The 15,773-nt window shown below is 38.4% G+C and overlaps 1 protein-coding gene across 4 annotated transcripts in view; it reads left to right on the top strand.

Moving 5' to 3' along the window:
* APPBP2 (amyloid beta precursor protein binding protein 2) overlaps positions 1-14,035 on the top strand; it is an 83,085-nt gene extending 69,050 nt beyond the window's left edge. For all 4 annotated transcript variants that reach the window (NM_001282476.2, NM_006380.5, XM_047435116.1 and 1 more), the window contains 4 exons: positions 812-897; positions 2,701-2,891; positions 5,148-5,313; positions 9,359-14,035. In NM_001282476.2, the coding sequence (NP_001269405.1) occupies positions 812-897; positions 2,701-2,891; positions 5,148-5,313; positions 9,359-9,612 (697 nt within the window). In that variant the 3' untranslated portion in view covers positions 9,613-14,035. The remainder of the gene's footprint in view (positions 1-811; positions 898-2,700; positions 2,892-5,147; positions 5,314-9,358) is intronic.
* The last annotated feature ends 1,738 nt before the right edge of the window (positions 14,036-15,773 follow it).

The following is a 15,773-nucleotide window of genomic DNA, read 5'->3' as shown; positions in this document are numbered from 1 at the left end:
TGTTGTGAAGAAGAGTAAAGTAGGCTGAGTTGAGAGAGTGATGGTAATTTTTTTTTTTTTTTTTGAGACAGTCTTTGTCACTCATGCTGGAGTACAATGGTGCAATCTTGGCTCGCTGCAACCTCCACCTCCCAGGTTCAAGCGATTCTGCCTCAGCCTGCTGAGTAGCTGGGATTACAGGCGTTCACCACCACACCTGGCTAATTTTCGTATTTTTTTAGTAGAGATGGAGTTTCACCATGTTGGCCAGGCTTGTCTCGAACTCCTGACCTCAGGTGATCCACCCACCTCAGCCTCCCAAAGTGCTGGGATTACAGGCATGAGCCACTGCACCCGGCCAGTGGTAAATTTTTTTAGGGCCTTTTATGTGGTCTGTTCTGGAAAGACCTGAGGAGCGAGTCGTGAGAATGTTCAGGGGAAGAGCATTATAGAAAGGGTAAAGCCAGGGTGAGAACATGCTCTGCATGTTCAGGAAACTGCTAGGCCTGTGTGGCTGGAGGGGAAGGCGGAGAGGGTTGGTGTGAGAATGGCAGGAGATGAGGTCAGGGAAGTAGCAGGCTGAAAGATCATGTAGAATCTTGTAGTCTGTAGTAAAGATTTCCTCTCATTCTGAGGGAAATGGGAGTCTCTGTTGGGTATTAAAAGTTCAGTCTACAACAGATTGGAAATTTAAAACAAAAAGCTGGATCTTTACCACAGATAGTTTTAGAAGTACTTTCTATCAATATTATATTACAGATTGTGATTTTTAAAATTCCTAAATCATTTGTAACTAAAAAGAAATGCCAGACTGTATCTATCTGTATTACAGATTTCATGCAGAAAGAGCTATTGGTATCATTACCCACATCCTACCTGAAGATCATCTTCTTTTGGCTTCTTCAAAGAGGGTGAAAGGTATCCTTTGTAATCTAGTCTCAGATATTTTAAAATAGATGATATATGGTATAAAATAGGGGTATTTGTTTATTTTCTCAGAGGATTGGAGGATTTTCTCACAGGATTTGACGGTGTCTATGTATTACTAGATAGCCATTTTACCACAACTCTACTTAAGGGGTTCCAGTGGCTCATAATGAAAGACTGTTTGCATCTCTCATAAAACATTGTTAATAGGCCGGATGGGGTGGCTTATGCCTGTAATCCCAGCACTTTGGGAGGCCGAGGCAGGCAGATCACCTGAGGTCAGAAGTTTGAGACCAGCCTGGCCAACATGGTGAAACCCCATCTTTACTAAAAATACAAAAATTAGCCGGATGTGGTGGCGTGCACCTGTAATCCCAGCTACTTGGGAGGCTGAGGCAGGAGAATCGTTTGAACCCAGGAGGCAGAGGTTGCAGTGAGCCAAGATCGTGCCACTGCACTCCAGCCTAGGCAACAGAACGAGACTCTGTCTCAAGAAAAAAAAATCAGTAAGCCAGAATTTCTTTCTTTTCTCTCTCCCTTTTGTCATTCACTCATGCATGCATTAATTTTTTTGAGGATTGCATGGAAGCATAATACAAATGTTTCTACACAACATGAATAGAAGATGGGTTTCATAACTTCAGCTTTGTAGTGCAGGATTCTTATCCTGAGCTTCGTATCAGGTTACCCCGAATGTTGCAAGGCTCTTGCAAAATACCCCTATCTTCCATTTCTTATTTTAACTTTTCTTCTGATTACCACCAAGGCTTTTTCACGTAATGCATTTATTTTGCTAACATGATTGGGTCACCTATGTGTTATTTCCGTGCATGTTGGATATGTTCTACCTTAATTCTGGAACTGAGTTTTTTCTCCCTCTAGGTTTGTATTTTTTAAGTTGCACAAGTAATACATGATGTTAGATAGAAAAGAGAAAAATAAATTGCCTTAAAATCCCACCAATCCTCAGTCAACATTTTGGTGAATATTATTTTAGACTTTTCTTACTTCAAATAAGATAACTAAATGAATGATTTAATTTTATAATCTGATTTTTTCACTTAATATATTACATTTTTTCATGTCTCTACATATATCCTTTTTTCTAATGTATTTAACCTTACCTTTATTATTTGACTCTTATAATTATTTTTAACCTTTTCTTTTTAAAAAATGCTACAGTGAAGTAAATCTCTTTTTCTTACCTTTGTGTACATAGACAGTTTTCCAATAAATCAAATTATCTGGTAAAATAATATGTATATTCTTAAGACTTTAGATAGAATTTGAAAGTCTTGAATGGAGCTTTGAAATTGAAATGTCTTGCCTGATTTGGTTGGTCAGATGAGTAGGAGGAAATCAGTTCTTTTAGCCGTGTTTGGTTAAAGGTTATGTTTTATAAAGTGTGTTTTCAAAATTTTCAGAAGTGCTTAGGTACTCCTTGACACAGTTTCATGACTTTAAAAAACTTGCCTTGTGCTTCCGTTTAATTTGAAAAACAAATTTCACATCAGCAAAGTATAGCAGTCTATTAAAATAGAAGCTAATTCTGCAAAATCGTTTATACCATTGTTTTTCTTAAATTTGAATATATATACTGTGCAAAATAGAATGACCACCAAAAAGTGTACTTTTTTGTTAAAAGTGGAATTCTTTCATCTTGACCAGTTCCAAACCATAATCACATATAAATATATTCAGTAAACATTTATATTATTTAAGTTTAAATTAGATGTTCTTACTAGCTTTGGTAGATGGTTTTGAAGTACACTAATTTATTGCCTTCTTTTTTAGCACTTATTTTAGAGGAGATTGCAATTGATTGTCATAATAAGGAAACTGAACAGAGGCTGCTTCAAGAAGCTCATGATTTGCACCTGTCTTCACTCCAACTAGCTAAAAAAGCTTTTGGGGAATTTAATGTACAGACTGCAAAACACTATGGAAACCTTGGAAGACTTTATCAGTCAATGAGAAAATTTAAGGTAGAAACATGTTTTTACTATATTTTTCTCTCTTAAGTAATGAAATAGAACCTGAAATAATAAATTTTAAGTAAGCTCAAATAAATTATACACTTATTGCACAAAGGAATTGAGAAGATAGTGAGTATAAAACAACATAGGCCAAGCACAGTGGCTCATTCCTATAATCCTGGCACTCTGGGAGGCTGAAATGGGAGGGTCCTTTGAGACCAGGAGTTTCAGACCAGCCTGGACAACATAGGGAGACCCTGTCTCTACAAAAATTAGGCAGGTGTGGTGGCACATGCCTGTCTTCCTACCTACTTGGAAGACTAAGGCAGGAGGATGAGTTGAGCCCAAGAAGTTGAGGCTGCAGTGACTATGATCACATCACTGCCCTCTAGCCTGGGTGACAGAGTGAGACCCTATCTCTAAAACAAACAAACAATAGTCAAAATATAAATAAAATTTAAAAATCAGGACCGTGGGCCAGGCACAGTGGCTTATGCCTGTAATCCCAGCACTGGAGTCCAGGGTGGGACAATCACCTGAGGCCAGGAGTTGAAGATTAGCCTGGTCAATATAGGGAAATCCCATCTCTACAAAAAAGAAAAAGTTAGCCAGACATGGTGGCTCACACCTGTAGTCCCAGCTTCTCCAGAGGCTGAGGCAAGAGGATGACTTGAGCCCAAAAGGTTGAGGCTGCAGTGAGCTCTGATCACACCACTGCACTCCAGCCTAGGTGACAGAGTGAGAGCCTGTCTTCAAAAAAAACAAAAAAAAAAACAGGATCATGAAAAATTAGGAAACATGTCAAACTAAAAAGATTAATATATGAGGCCGGGCTCAGTGGCTCATGTCTGTAATCCCAGCACTTTGGGAGGCCAAGGTGTGCAGAACACTTGAGGGTCAGGAGTTCAAGACCAGCCTGGCCAACATGGTGAAAACCCATCTCTACTAAAAATACAAAAATTAGCCAGGCATGGTGGCATGCACCTGTAGTCCCAGCTACTCAGGAGGCTGAGACAGGAGAATTGCTTGAACCTGGGAGATGGAGATTGTAGTGAGCCGAGATCTGCACTCCAGCTTGGATAACAGAGTGAGACTCATCTCAAAAAAAAAGATTAATATATGAAAGTAGTACTTGAGATAAGAAAAAATTTTTTAAATAAAAAAGACAAATATGATTGCTATATTTCAAACAGTTCTTAGTATATAGTTCTTGATATATAATTCTTAGTATATACTAAGTATAGCTCTTAGCAGAATGCCTGGCACATGGCAGGTGTGCAAGAAATGTCAGATATTGCAACAAGTATTATCAGTTGTAGCAATAAATATGACTAACTTCAATGTATTTTAGAATTTTGAGTTATATATATATTTTTTAATATGGGTTCTTACTCTGTTGTCCAGGCCGTAGTACAGTGGTGTGATCATGGCTCACTACAGCCTCAACCTCCCTGGGCTCAGGTGATCTTTTCACCTCAGCTTCCCAAGTAGCTGGGAATACAGGCGCACACCACCACACTGCCTAATTTTTGTATTGTTTGTAGAGACAGGGTCTTGCCCTATTGCCCAGCCCTGTTGCCCAGGCTGATCTCGAACTCCTGGGCTCAAGCAATCTGCCTGCCTCGACCTCCCAAACTGTTGGGATTACAGGCATGAGCCACTGTGCCCAGCCTATAAATTCTTAATATTATTAATTTTGGGATCACAGTAAGTAAAGAGTGAGAGGTCTTCTTTACCTGAAAAGCAACCTGTATATCCCTCAATTAGCTTGAGTTTAGTTTGTTGGAATAAAAATTGTCAAAATTCCAAAAAATGAAATGAAAGTGTATGCCCATGTAAATTAACATATTATGATCTAGAGCTTGTTAAGAAGGTTCAACTAAATTTTGGACTGTGTTAACTGTGTTAACCAAAGGAAGTAATTTTTGTTTTAGAATGTTTTGTTAATTTCTTCTAACAGTTTCTTAAAATTTTGCAAATTTCTTTGTTGTGAATTTCTTGTAACAATTTTTTATTACCAGGATAAGTTTTCACTTGTTACTTTTGACATAGGATACTATTGCTGTCATCAGTTTATCTGCAGTTTCCAAAACTCTGTAATGCTTCCCATAGGCAATTTTTGGAATAACATAGTATGTTCTTTGATCTGATTACCTTATGGCATTCATAAGATGTCTTTGGCATTTAGATCAGTTTTGCTCATTGAGTAAGAACTGTTAAGATGAGAAAAAGTATAATGATTGATATGGCATAATTGTTTTTCAGGAAGCTGAAGAAATGCACATCAAAGCAATTCAGATTAAAGAACAACTTCTTGGTCAAGAAGATTATGAAGTAGCCCTTTCAGTGGGACATCTGGCTTCTTTATATAATTATGACATGAATCAGTATGAAAATGCTGAGAAACTTTATTTGCGATCTATAGCAATTGGTATGTTACATTTAAATTTTCTTTAGTCAGTTGATTACAAATCAACATGTCAGCATGTCTTATATGTTGTATAAGGAAAATGTTATTAAAGACTTAAATGGGGCTGGGTGCGGTGGCTCATACCTGTAATCCCAGCACTTTGGGAGGCCGAGATAGGCAGATCACTTGAGGTCAGGAGTTCGAGACCAGCCTGGCCAACATGGTGAAACCCCATCTCTACTAAAAAATACAAAAACAAATTAGCTGGGCATGATGGTGCATGTCTGTAGTCCCACCTACTCAGGAGGCTGAGGCAGGAGAATCACTTGAACCTGGAAGGCAGAGGTTGTCATGAGCTGAGATTGTGCCACTGCTCTCCAGCCTGGGCAACAGAACGAGACTCCATCTCAAAAAAATAAATAAAATAAAATAAAATACTAAAATATTTAATAAAATAAAATAGATTTAAATGGGATAAGTTGCTAAGGATATTCAGGAACCACCCAAAAATCATCTGGAACATTTTGCTAAAGGTGCTTTTTTTGATACTGAAGCCAGTAGTAAGAGGTATGACAGTAGACTGTCATGTGTAGGCAAAAGTAGTTATTTTAAACTATTTGTGCAGTTACTGCCCACTCATTCCTCCCCCTCCCTTCTCCTACCTTTAACATCATAGATCAGGCTTACCTGTTTTTGAACTTGATGAAGTTATACAATGTATATTTTTATGTGTCTGGTTTATTGGTGAACAATAATGGTGAAATCTGTGATGTTGCGTATCACTGCCATTTGTTGGATTAGGATGTCATCATTTATCCATTCCACTATTAATGAACATTTGGAACATTTGGATTTCCATTTCAGGACTATTACAAAATCAAAATAAGGAATCTATGGCCATCATCTTATGAAGTGCCTGTTAAAACTCTTGCCCATTTTTATATTGATTTGTCTTGTCATTTTCTTATTGACTTATAGAAGTTCTTTATATGATATGAATATGACAGACCTTCGTTGGTTACATGTGTCATAGATATCATCTCTTATTCTTGCTTGTTTCCTAATGGAGCCTTTTAAATAACAGAAGTTCTTTTTTTCTTTTTTCTTTTTTCTTTCTTTTTTTTTTTTTGAGACAGGATCTTACTCTGTCACCCAGGCTGGAGTGCACATCAGGGCTCACTGCAGCCTCAATCTCCTGAGTTCAAGTGATCCTTCTGCCTCAGCCCACCTGAGTAGCTGGGACTACAGATGTGCACCAGCACACCCGGCTAATTTTTTTTTTTTTATTGTTTCAATAGGGACAAGGTCTCACAATCTTGGCCCAGGCTGATCTCAAACTCCTGAGCTCAAGTAATCCTCCTACCTCAGCCTCCCAAAGTGCTGGGATTATAGGCATGAGCCACTGTGCCCAGCCAGTTCTTAATGTAATCAGATGCATCAGTATTTTCTTTTTTTTTTTTTTTGAGAGGGAGTCTCGCTCTGTCACCCAGGCTAGAGTGCAGTGGCGCGATCTCGGCTTACTGCAACCTCCGACTCCCAGGTTCAAGCAATTCTACTGCCTCAGCCTCCGGAGTACCTGGGACTACAGGTGCCCGCCACCATGCCCAGCTAATTTTTTGTATTTTTAGTAGAGACGGTGTTTCAGCATGTTGGCCAGGATGATCTCAATCTCTTAACCTCGTGATCTGCCTGCCTTGGCCTCCCAGAGTGCTGGGATTACAGGCCTCATGAGCCACCGCGTCCAGCCTGCATCAGTGTTTTCTTTTGTGAATAGCACTTTTTGTATTGTTTAAGAAATCTTTTCAGCCAGGCACGGTGGCTCACACCTGTAATCCCAGCACTTTGGGAGGCCGAGGCAGGTGGATCACTTGAGGTCAGGAGTCCAAGCCCAGCCTGGCCAACATGCTGAAACCCCGTCTCAACTAAAAAGACAAAAATTAGCCGGGCGTGGTACAGTACGCCTGTAATCCCAGCTACTCGGGAGGCTGAGGCAGGAGAATTGCTTGAACCTAGCGGGCAGAGGTTGCAGTGAGCCGAGATTGCACTGTGCACTCCAGCCTGTGTGACGGAGCAAGACTACGTCTCCAAAAAAAAATATGGAAATCTTTTTCTACCCAAAGTAATAAAGATATTTTTTTCTAGAAAATTATCTTCAGGAAACTTTATTTATATTTAGATCTACAATCCTGAAACTGATTTTTTTTTTATGGTGTGAAGTAGGGATCAATTTTTTTCCCCATATGGACACAGAGTTAAGCCAAGACCATTTCTTCAAAAGACTTTTTTTTGGTTTTGTTTTGTTTTGAGACAAGAGTCTCGCTGTGTCGTCCAGGCTGGTATGCAGTGGCGTGGTCTTAGCTCACTGCAGCCTCCACCTCCTGGGTTCAAGCGATTCTCCTGCCTCAGTTTCCCAAGTAGCTGGGACTACAGATGCACACCACCACACCTGGATAATTTTTTTGTATTTTTTTAGTAGAGGCAAGGTTTTGCCGTGTTGGCCAGGTTGGTCTCGAACTTCTGACCTCAGGCAGCCTGCCCGCCTGGGCCTCCCAAAGTGCTGGGATTACAGGCGTGAGCCACCGCTCCTGGCCAAAAGACTCTTTTTTTCCCTCTGCTATACTGTGTTCTTCATAAATCATTTATCCATATACATGTGGGTTCCCTATTATCTATAATATATTGACTGACTTGCTCATTCCTCAAGTGCATGTAGTTTAAGAGTTGCTAACCCATACCGCTGTGAAAAACAGACCTACTACTTAGAGTTCAATATTCGTTTACAGTTTTCCTTTTTCTCTAGCCCGAAGGTAGTATATTTTCAGAATACTATGTTCAAAAGTTACTTGGGGTTATTTACACCCCTTTCCTTTCAATGTGGTTATGTTATTCTTTTGCACAACAATTAGGTTTATTTAACATGTTAAATTGTTGCCCCATCCATCTTTGTTTATTTTGTTAATTTTTTTGAGTATGCGAAATATTAACGTACTGTAATTAGAACTATACAGAAAGATATGTCCAGATACATATAATTTTCTCTGATTTCTTCTACCCAGTTCCCACCCACTCACTATGGATAACCAGTCTCATTAGTTTCTGGTTTATCATTTTTGTGTATCTTTTTGCACAATGAACAGATAAATATTTTCTTATTTCCCTATCATACACAAAAGATAGCATACTATAGATACTCTTTGGTATTTTACTTTTTTCAATCTTAACAATATACCATCAGTCACTCCGTAACCGTTACAGAGAGCCCAGAAATTTCCCCATCAGTTTGCAGCTACATAATATGCCATTGAGTGAAGGTACCACAGTTGATTAAACTATTCTACGTGTTTTTGTTTGTTTCTGTTAATTTGTAATTACAAATACTGTTGCAGTGAATAGCCTTGTGCATGTGTTTTGGTTTTTCATTTGTTGGTTGGTTTTTTTGAGACGGAGTCTCTCTCTGTCACCCAAGCTGGAGTGCAGTGGCCTGATCTTGGCTCACTGCAACCTCTGCCTCCTGGGTTCAGGCAGTTCTCATGCCTCAGCCTCTCGAGTAGCTGGGATTACAAGCATGCACCACCACGCCCAGCTAATTTTTGTATTTTTAGTAGAGACGGGTATTCACCATGTTGGCCAGGCTTTCACCATGTTGGCCAGGCTAGTCCCAAACTCTTGACCTCAGGTGATCCACCCACCTTGGCCTCCCAAAGTGCTGGGATTACAGGTGTGAGCCACCATGACTGGCCTGTGCATGTGTATTTTTCTGTTGTTGGAGATGCTGCCATTCTTCTTTGAGATCTCTTTAAACAGTTCTTTCAAACCATGAATTTTTATAATTCTATTCTAATGAGGCCAACTTCTTTAGACGAGAAAATTTTTTTTAAGTCTTAGTGATAGCTCATGGTTGGGACTGATTTAGGGGATGCTGATACAAGAATTATATCTATTCCTTTCAGGGGAATAAACCTAAGCCACCCTGTTTAAAGAATTGAACTTGTGTTCATGTTATAGAAATTGCTTGTTATCTCATTATTTGTGCTTTTTTTTTTTTCCTTTTTCTTTTTTGTTACAGGGAAGAAACTTTTTGGTGAGGGCTACAGTGGACTAGAATATGATTATCGAGGTCTCATTAAACTTTACAACTCCATTGGAAATTACGAGAAAGTGTTTGAATATCACAATGTTCTGTCTAACTGGAACCGGTTGCGAGATCGGCAATATTCAGTGACAGATGCTCTTGAAGATGTCAGCACCAGCCCCCAGTCCACTGAAGAAGTGGTGCAGTCCTTCCTGATTTCTCAGAATGTCGAGGGACCGAGCTGCTGAGGGAGGACCTCAGTTAACCAATTACCTTTTCCCGGATTCCAGGGAATTCATACTGTGAAATCAAAACCATGTTGTTTTGGGGGGCTGGAATTTGCATTGAAACACTGGTCCAGTCCATTGAAGACCCTATTTTGGGTGATCCCTATCTTGCAGAATGTCTGTAGGAATAAGCATATATTCAGTTATATTCAGCATGTACCGCATGTGTAAGTAGTCTGGCCCACATTTTCAACCTAGTAGAACAAACAACAGGAAATCTTTTTTTTGTTGTTTTTAAAAAATTCATTTTGCAGAAAGCCTGAAAGAAAAAAAATACCCCTAAATAAAACTATTTAAGAGTTTAAAAGAGTTGCATTCTTATTATGTAAGGATGATTTTAACAACTTTTTAATATGTAATTCTTCCATGTGGAGGTATTCAATACTGTAGTGTAAAGAAATTTTATGCGGAAAATCTTTATATGCAGTATAGAAAAGTTAACACAAGTACTAATAAAAGAGGGACATCCCGACTTACGTTTTTCTACCTTGCCCAGATAAGTGGATACAACCACTCTATATTACAAGGAAAGGACTGTCAGATTCATCTGAACTGGACCAGTGTTGATCTGTAATGTAATAGAAAATCTGATAGACCAGCACTTCTGACTTTTTTTTTTTTGGTACAACAATGCAAGATGCTCTGATAGCATTTGCTAACAGGACCAGGAGGATCTAAAAAGGACCAGCCTAATGTAGAAGGTGGTTACTTGGACCAGAGGCTTTAGATTATTATTTTAGATCCTACATATACTTTTATCAGTAGAATGATTTCATTTAGATGTATAATGAAAAAGGATAATGCAAAAATTATGTAATAGATACCAAATTAGGGAAGTTTGGCAATTTCAATGGCATATTTTTAGTCAAGGTACACAGATGGCAGTGCCATAAGCAAGTCTATAAATATCGGCTGCAGCCATCCCCCTCATTTTAAATGTTGCCCTAATAATCAATGCAGTTAACAAGTATATTGGCTGTGTGTCATGAAATAGTTCATGTTCAGATGGAAATGTTAGGTTACTGTATGGTTTATGGAGATTAATGAAAATGAATGCCCAAAAATAAGTCTTAGAAAATCCTCCATTTTTATGGTAAATAGTAATACAACTAGGTCATTTCATTTGAAATCTAGGAGTCAAATGGAAAGATCCCCTAATAATACACCTATTTCACTAACTTGTCTTTCTGTTTATTGGGTTTTGATTTGATTTTTTGTAAGCCAGTCAGGTTATTTAATGATGAGGTAATAATCAAATTTAAGAATTTGTGACATGTAGCAATTCAAGAAACAAAAAGGTATTTTGCTGTTACCTCAATTCTTACTGTAGTAGCCCATCTGATGCTTCTATAGTTAAGAATCTGGGTTCCCCCCCTATTTTCAGGGGTTCATGACTTGGCTGTTAAAGATGTTGCTCCTAGCTAATGCTTGGAGTAGTCTGTGGGTGAATGGATGTGTGTTGAATTTTAGTTTTCTTTTAACATGCATGTTGGGTGAGAGGGGAAAAAAATCTAAGCTGTCTGCCACATTGAGTACAGAAAAGTTGTAGATTTCAAATTTTATTAATATTTTAAGCACTTTTTTGAACTTCCCAACCTTGTTTGAAGCTGTTATTTGCAGTCCTATTAGTTTTGAGCCATTGCATTTAAGTTCCCTAGGAGGGGGTTGGTTGGGGGATGTACTGAAAGAGATGAAGCAAACCCACACCCTAAGATGGTAACTGTGTGATTTAGAAACCTGAGTTTACTCCTCAAATCGAATTATTTTCTTTTTAAATTTTGGAAAGAGTAAATTGACGTACTTGCAGTTTATGAAGCTGCCCCCCACCCCTCAGTTAATTGCAGTCTAATGTCAAGAGGCACTTCTTTATTAATTACCAAATAGTCTTTGTGACCAAGGACTAACATTTTTAAGTTACTCAGCTCTATCCTCATGGGCCTATATATTTAATACCTCCAAAGATATTTTCAGGATAGGCTTTGTATACTTTTATTGGTTATTTAGAATCCAGTGGTATGTTTGTGGTATAGGAATGTCATGGTAAATTGTTTTTCAATAAATATTTTGAAACATGTTTCCATATGAAGTTTTTTTTTCAATCTGTATTTTTTGGTTTTGTGCACATACAGCATTTCCTAGGATAAAAATAAACAAATGACTTACAGCCTCATCCTCCCTAACTCCATTTGAACTCAACTTAGCTCACACTCAGTGATAAAACAACATGGTATGTAGAAGCCTAGGATCACAGGGTGATAATGTCAATTGGCAGCCAGTTGTGTTTTTTTGAAACATCATTATTGGCAGTTTCTCCTTATCACCACTGCTTTAATGTAGTTTTTTTGTAAATCCATATACTTTAATGCATACACTCTAGCTTAAGAAAACATTGCCATTTTGGTTAGGGATATGACTTAATGTGCTATTATTTCTGGTTCTAATGAAGAATAATACCCTATGACTTTAAGTGTAAGATTCATCCTTTAAGTAGGGATGTTTAGGATAAGTTAGATGTGTGCCACTATGATTTATTGGGTTTCTTAAAAATCTTGAAGAAAATAATAAAATTTATCTCACAATAAGTTAACTTGCGCAAACTTTTTACATATGGTGAGGTGCGTAAGGAAGCCCTGGCCAACTTAAAGATTTTTCTGGAGGTTCAGCAAAGTTATGTTAAATTAGGGGCCTTTGGTCTCATCCTTCTCTGACTCTTCTACCCAGTCTTTTCCTAAAGTTCGGTGCTACTCCAGTTGGGTGCATCAGGGAGCTCCGTCAGCACTCGCATGTGTCGCTCAGGTGGCCACTCATGCCTGCATTCCATTTAATAGAGTCAATTGGAATTTTTAGAGCATAATCTTTATGGATCCTCAAAGCTGACTTTGCCAAAGGGATTGAGACCCTTACTACCATCAAATCTCTGTCTCTGCTTGGTTAAAAATTGGCTCACTATTGCTTTGTAGTAACCCCTGCCCAGGTATTTTTTCACTTGTGAAAATAATTTGAGAAAGACCTTTGTTCCTAGCCTGTTGGGAAAAGTTTATAATTTTATGAAAATTAAGTACAGAGGCTGCGATCTTAGAAATAATGAAGGTGCCATTTGGCTGCTCCTTAATAGTGCAGACAGAAAACTGCAGTGAACACATGCCAAAACATGATTGAAGCCTTTGGCTGAAACTTTATACATAGAAATAATGATTTGCTCATAACAGGTATCATTAACTGCCACTTTTTATGTTTTCCCTAGAATTTGTAGCCTTGCTGCTTGCTTTTCTTCTGGGTGGCAAAGTTACTACTGGAAAAACACTATAAGTACAAAGTTTTTGGGGTTTTATCTTTGCTTTAGAAGTGGATGTGTACTTCACCTCTTGGCTGTGGAGGAACTTAGTTGCCAGGAAATTTTTTTTTTTTTTTTCAGACGGAGTTTCGCTCTTGTTGCCCAGGCTGGGAGGGCAATGGCACCGTCTTGGCTCACTGCAACCTCCGCCTCCCGGGTTCCAGCGATTCTCCTGCCTCAGCCTTCCGAGTAGCTGGGATTACAGGCTCCTGCCACCACGCCTGGCTAGGAAATTTTTTGTTGTTAATATGACATTTGGATTAATCTCCAGCTTCAACAGTACTTCTTTTGTCCATAAATCTCAGGAATGTTTTAGGCAGAAAACTGGTTTTACCCTGTTGATAATCAGAAGGAGTGTGCTTTAGGATTTATTGCATAATACTATTCTTTAATTGCAATCCTAGGTATCTATAGCATGAGTGGCCTTAGTGAGTTTGTTGAAGTGCACATGTTTTTCAAGAGTAAAATTTAAGATTAAAAATATATCCTATATATAGATATCTAGAAAACTTGGTTTGTGGTGCACAGTTAAGTGTTGGATCACTAAATAACCATTGCAGGTACCGTTTGTGTAACATTACTCATTTCTGTATATTCCTTTTATGGGAAGATATTTTGCCATGGTAACTAAAACTTTTCAGTTCTACTTTTATGATGTGAATGAATGCTACGTTTTATTAAATATTACCAGGTCAGTACTATTTTTATACTTTATTAAGCAACAGGGGATTTTAGTTTAATAGGCTCAAAATAAAAAGTTCTTAATGGAACAGTTAAAAACAAAACACTAACAATCTTTACGTGAAAATCCCCACTAATAGTGCCACAATAATTTCTATAGAAATATCTAAGGTCATTAAATAGATTTTTGAAGACGGTTCTTCATTGTGTCAGGATGACCTTTCATATCATTCTCACCAACTTGTAGTGCCCACCGTTATTTGTAACTATTAAACCATACTAAGTATGTTTGTAACCAGCATTGTGATATATTCTGTACTTGTATTGCTAAAAATGAATTATTGACCTAATAAATATAGTGTTCCTGCATTCATAGTGTATCTGTTTCCAATTTGGTTTTGATTGCTTTTGGTTGGGATTAAGCTTTGCAGACTGTTTTTATTAGAGAACAGTGTGAGAGAAACTGTTGGAACTAGAACAAAAGTGCTCTTGTTCAAGAAAATTAAGATGTGTGGCAGAGGAGGCGCATGGTAACATCTGGAGATTGTGCTGATGAAAAGCACTTGGAAAAAGACAAAGCACTGCATTAATGCAAAGGGATTTTTTAGTCTTTACAAAAGTATACCATTCTTTTAAGAATCCTCTCACTCTAAAGGCTGAAGATGAATGATGAGACCTGGTAAAGTTCTGCTGGAATAGTGAAGAAAAGCCTAGATTGGAGTTTCAGTTCCAGCTGTCTCTGAACTGGAAGATTCTGAGTTACGTCATTCCAGCCCTCTTTGTGTTTTATTTCCTCACATGAATAAGGGGGTAAAATCAGGTCTTTAAAAAACTTCACCATGAAACAGCATAAATCTGAAGGACTCAGAAACCAGTTGTAGGAAACGAAGCCATATTTTTAAAGATTAGGAAGAAAATATTGTAGACAAAATCCCACCATCACTTGGAATATAGTCAGCACCAGCTTCACTGCCTGCCACCTTCAGTGATACTGAATTTAAAAATGTTTCTTTTTACATCTCCATGACTGAACCTCTGAACATGCGATTTCGTCGTCCTTGTGGAATGCCATTTCCTGGATAGTGTTGCTCATCTGTCAAGCTCAAAGATCAAGGGAACCCTTCCCTTAAAGTTTGAGTTGCCACTTGGTATTAATGCAGCATTTTAGAGCTTTGTGAAAGCAATTACCATATGGCCATATAACTTACAGTGTTAAGACTCTTTCCAACTTGTAAACTTTGCTGATCTGTGTATTCAACATAGAGTTTATCCTGTGACAGATACTGTCCTGAGTGTGTTAGCAAACCACACTCAGTTACTTTAAGCGCACATTTCTATAGACAAATGCCCATTAGGATGGCTATTACAGAAAGTAAGTGTTGGCAAGGATGTGCAGAAATGAGAGCCCTTGTGCACTGTTGACAGGAATGTAAAATGCTGCATCTGCTGTGAAAAACTATCACCTGTGCTCAAAAAATTAAAAACAATTACTCTTATGATCCAGCAATTCAACTTCTGGGTATAGATCCAAAAGAATTGAAAGGGTCTTGAACAGATATTTATATACCCGTGTAGCAGCATTATTTGCAGTAGCCAAAAGCGAAAGCAACCTAAATGTCTTAACAATGCATGAACAGATAAATATGGCAGGCCAGGCGTGGTGGCTCATGTGTATTCCTAACTCTGGGAGGCAGGCCGACGCAGGAGGATTATTTGAGCCCAGGAGTTCGAGACCAGCCTGGGCAACAAGGTGAAATGCTGTCTCTACAAAAAATACAAAAAAATAATTAGCTGGGCGTGGTGGCACACACCTGTAGTCCCAGCTACTCAGGAGGCTGAGGTGGGAGGATTGCTTGAGCCCAGGAGGTTGAGGCTGAGTGAGCCGTGATCACACCACACTGCACTCCAGCCTGGGCAAGAGAATGAGAACCTGTTGATAAATACGGCATATACATACAGTGGGATATTATTCAGCCATAAGAATATACGAAATTCTGACATAAGCTATAATGTGGACAAACCTTGAAGACATTATGCTAAGTGAAATAAGACAGTCACAAAGAGTATGATACTATTAGATGATGCATCTAGAGTAGTCAAATTCATA

The sequence above is a fragment of the Homo sapiens genome, chromosome 17 (genome assembly GCF_000001405.40).
Source record: "Homo sapiens chromosome 17, GRCh38.p14 Primary Assembly".
Lineage (NCBI taxonomy): Eukaryota > Metazoa > Chordata > Mammalia > Primates > Hominidae > Homo > Homo sapiens.
The sequence above is the reverse complement of the archived record's forward strand: the minus strand, read 5'-3'. Positions and strand labels throughout refer to the sequence as shown.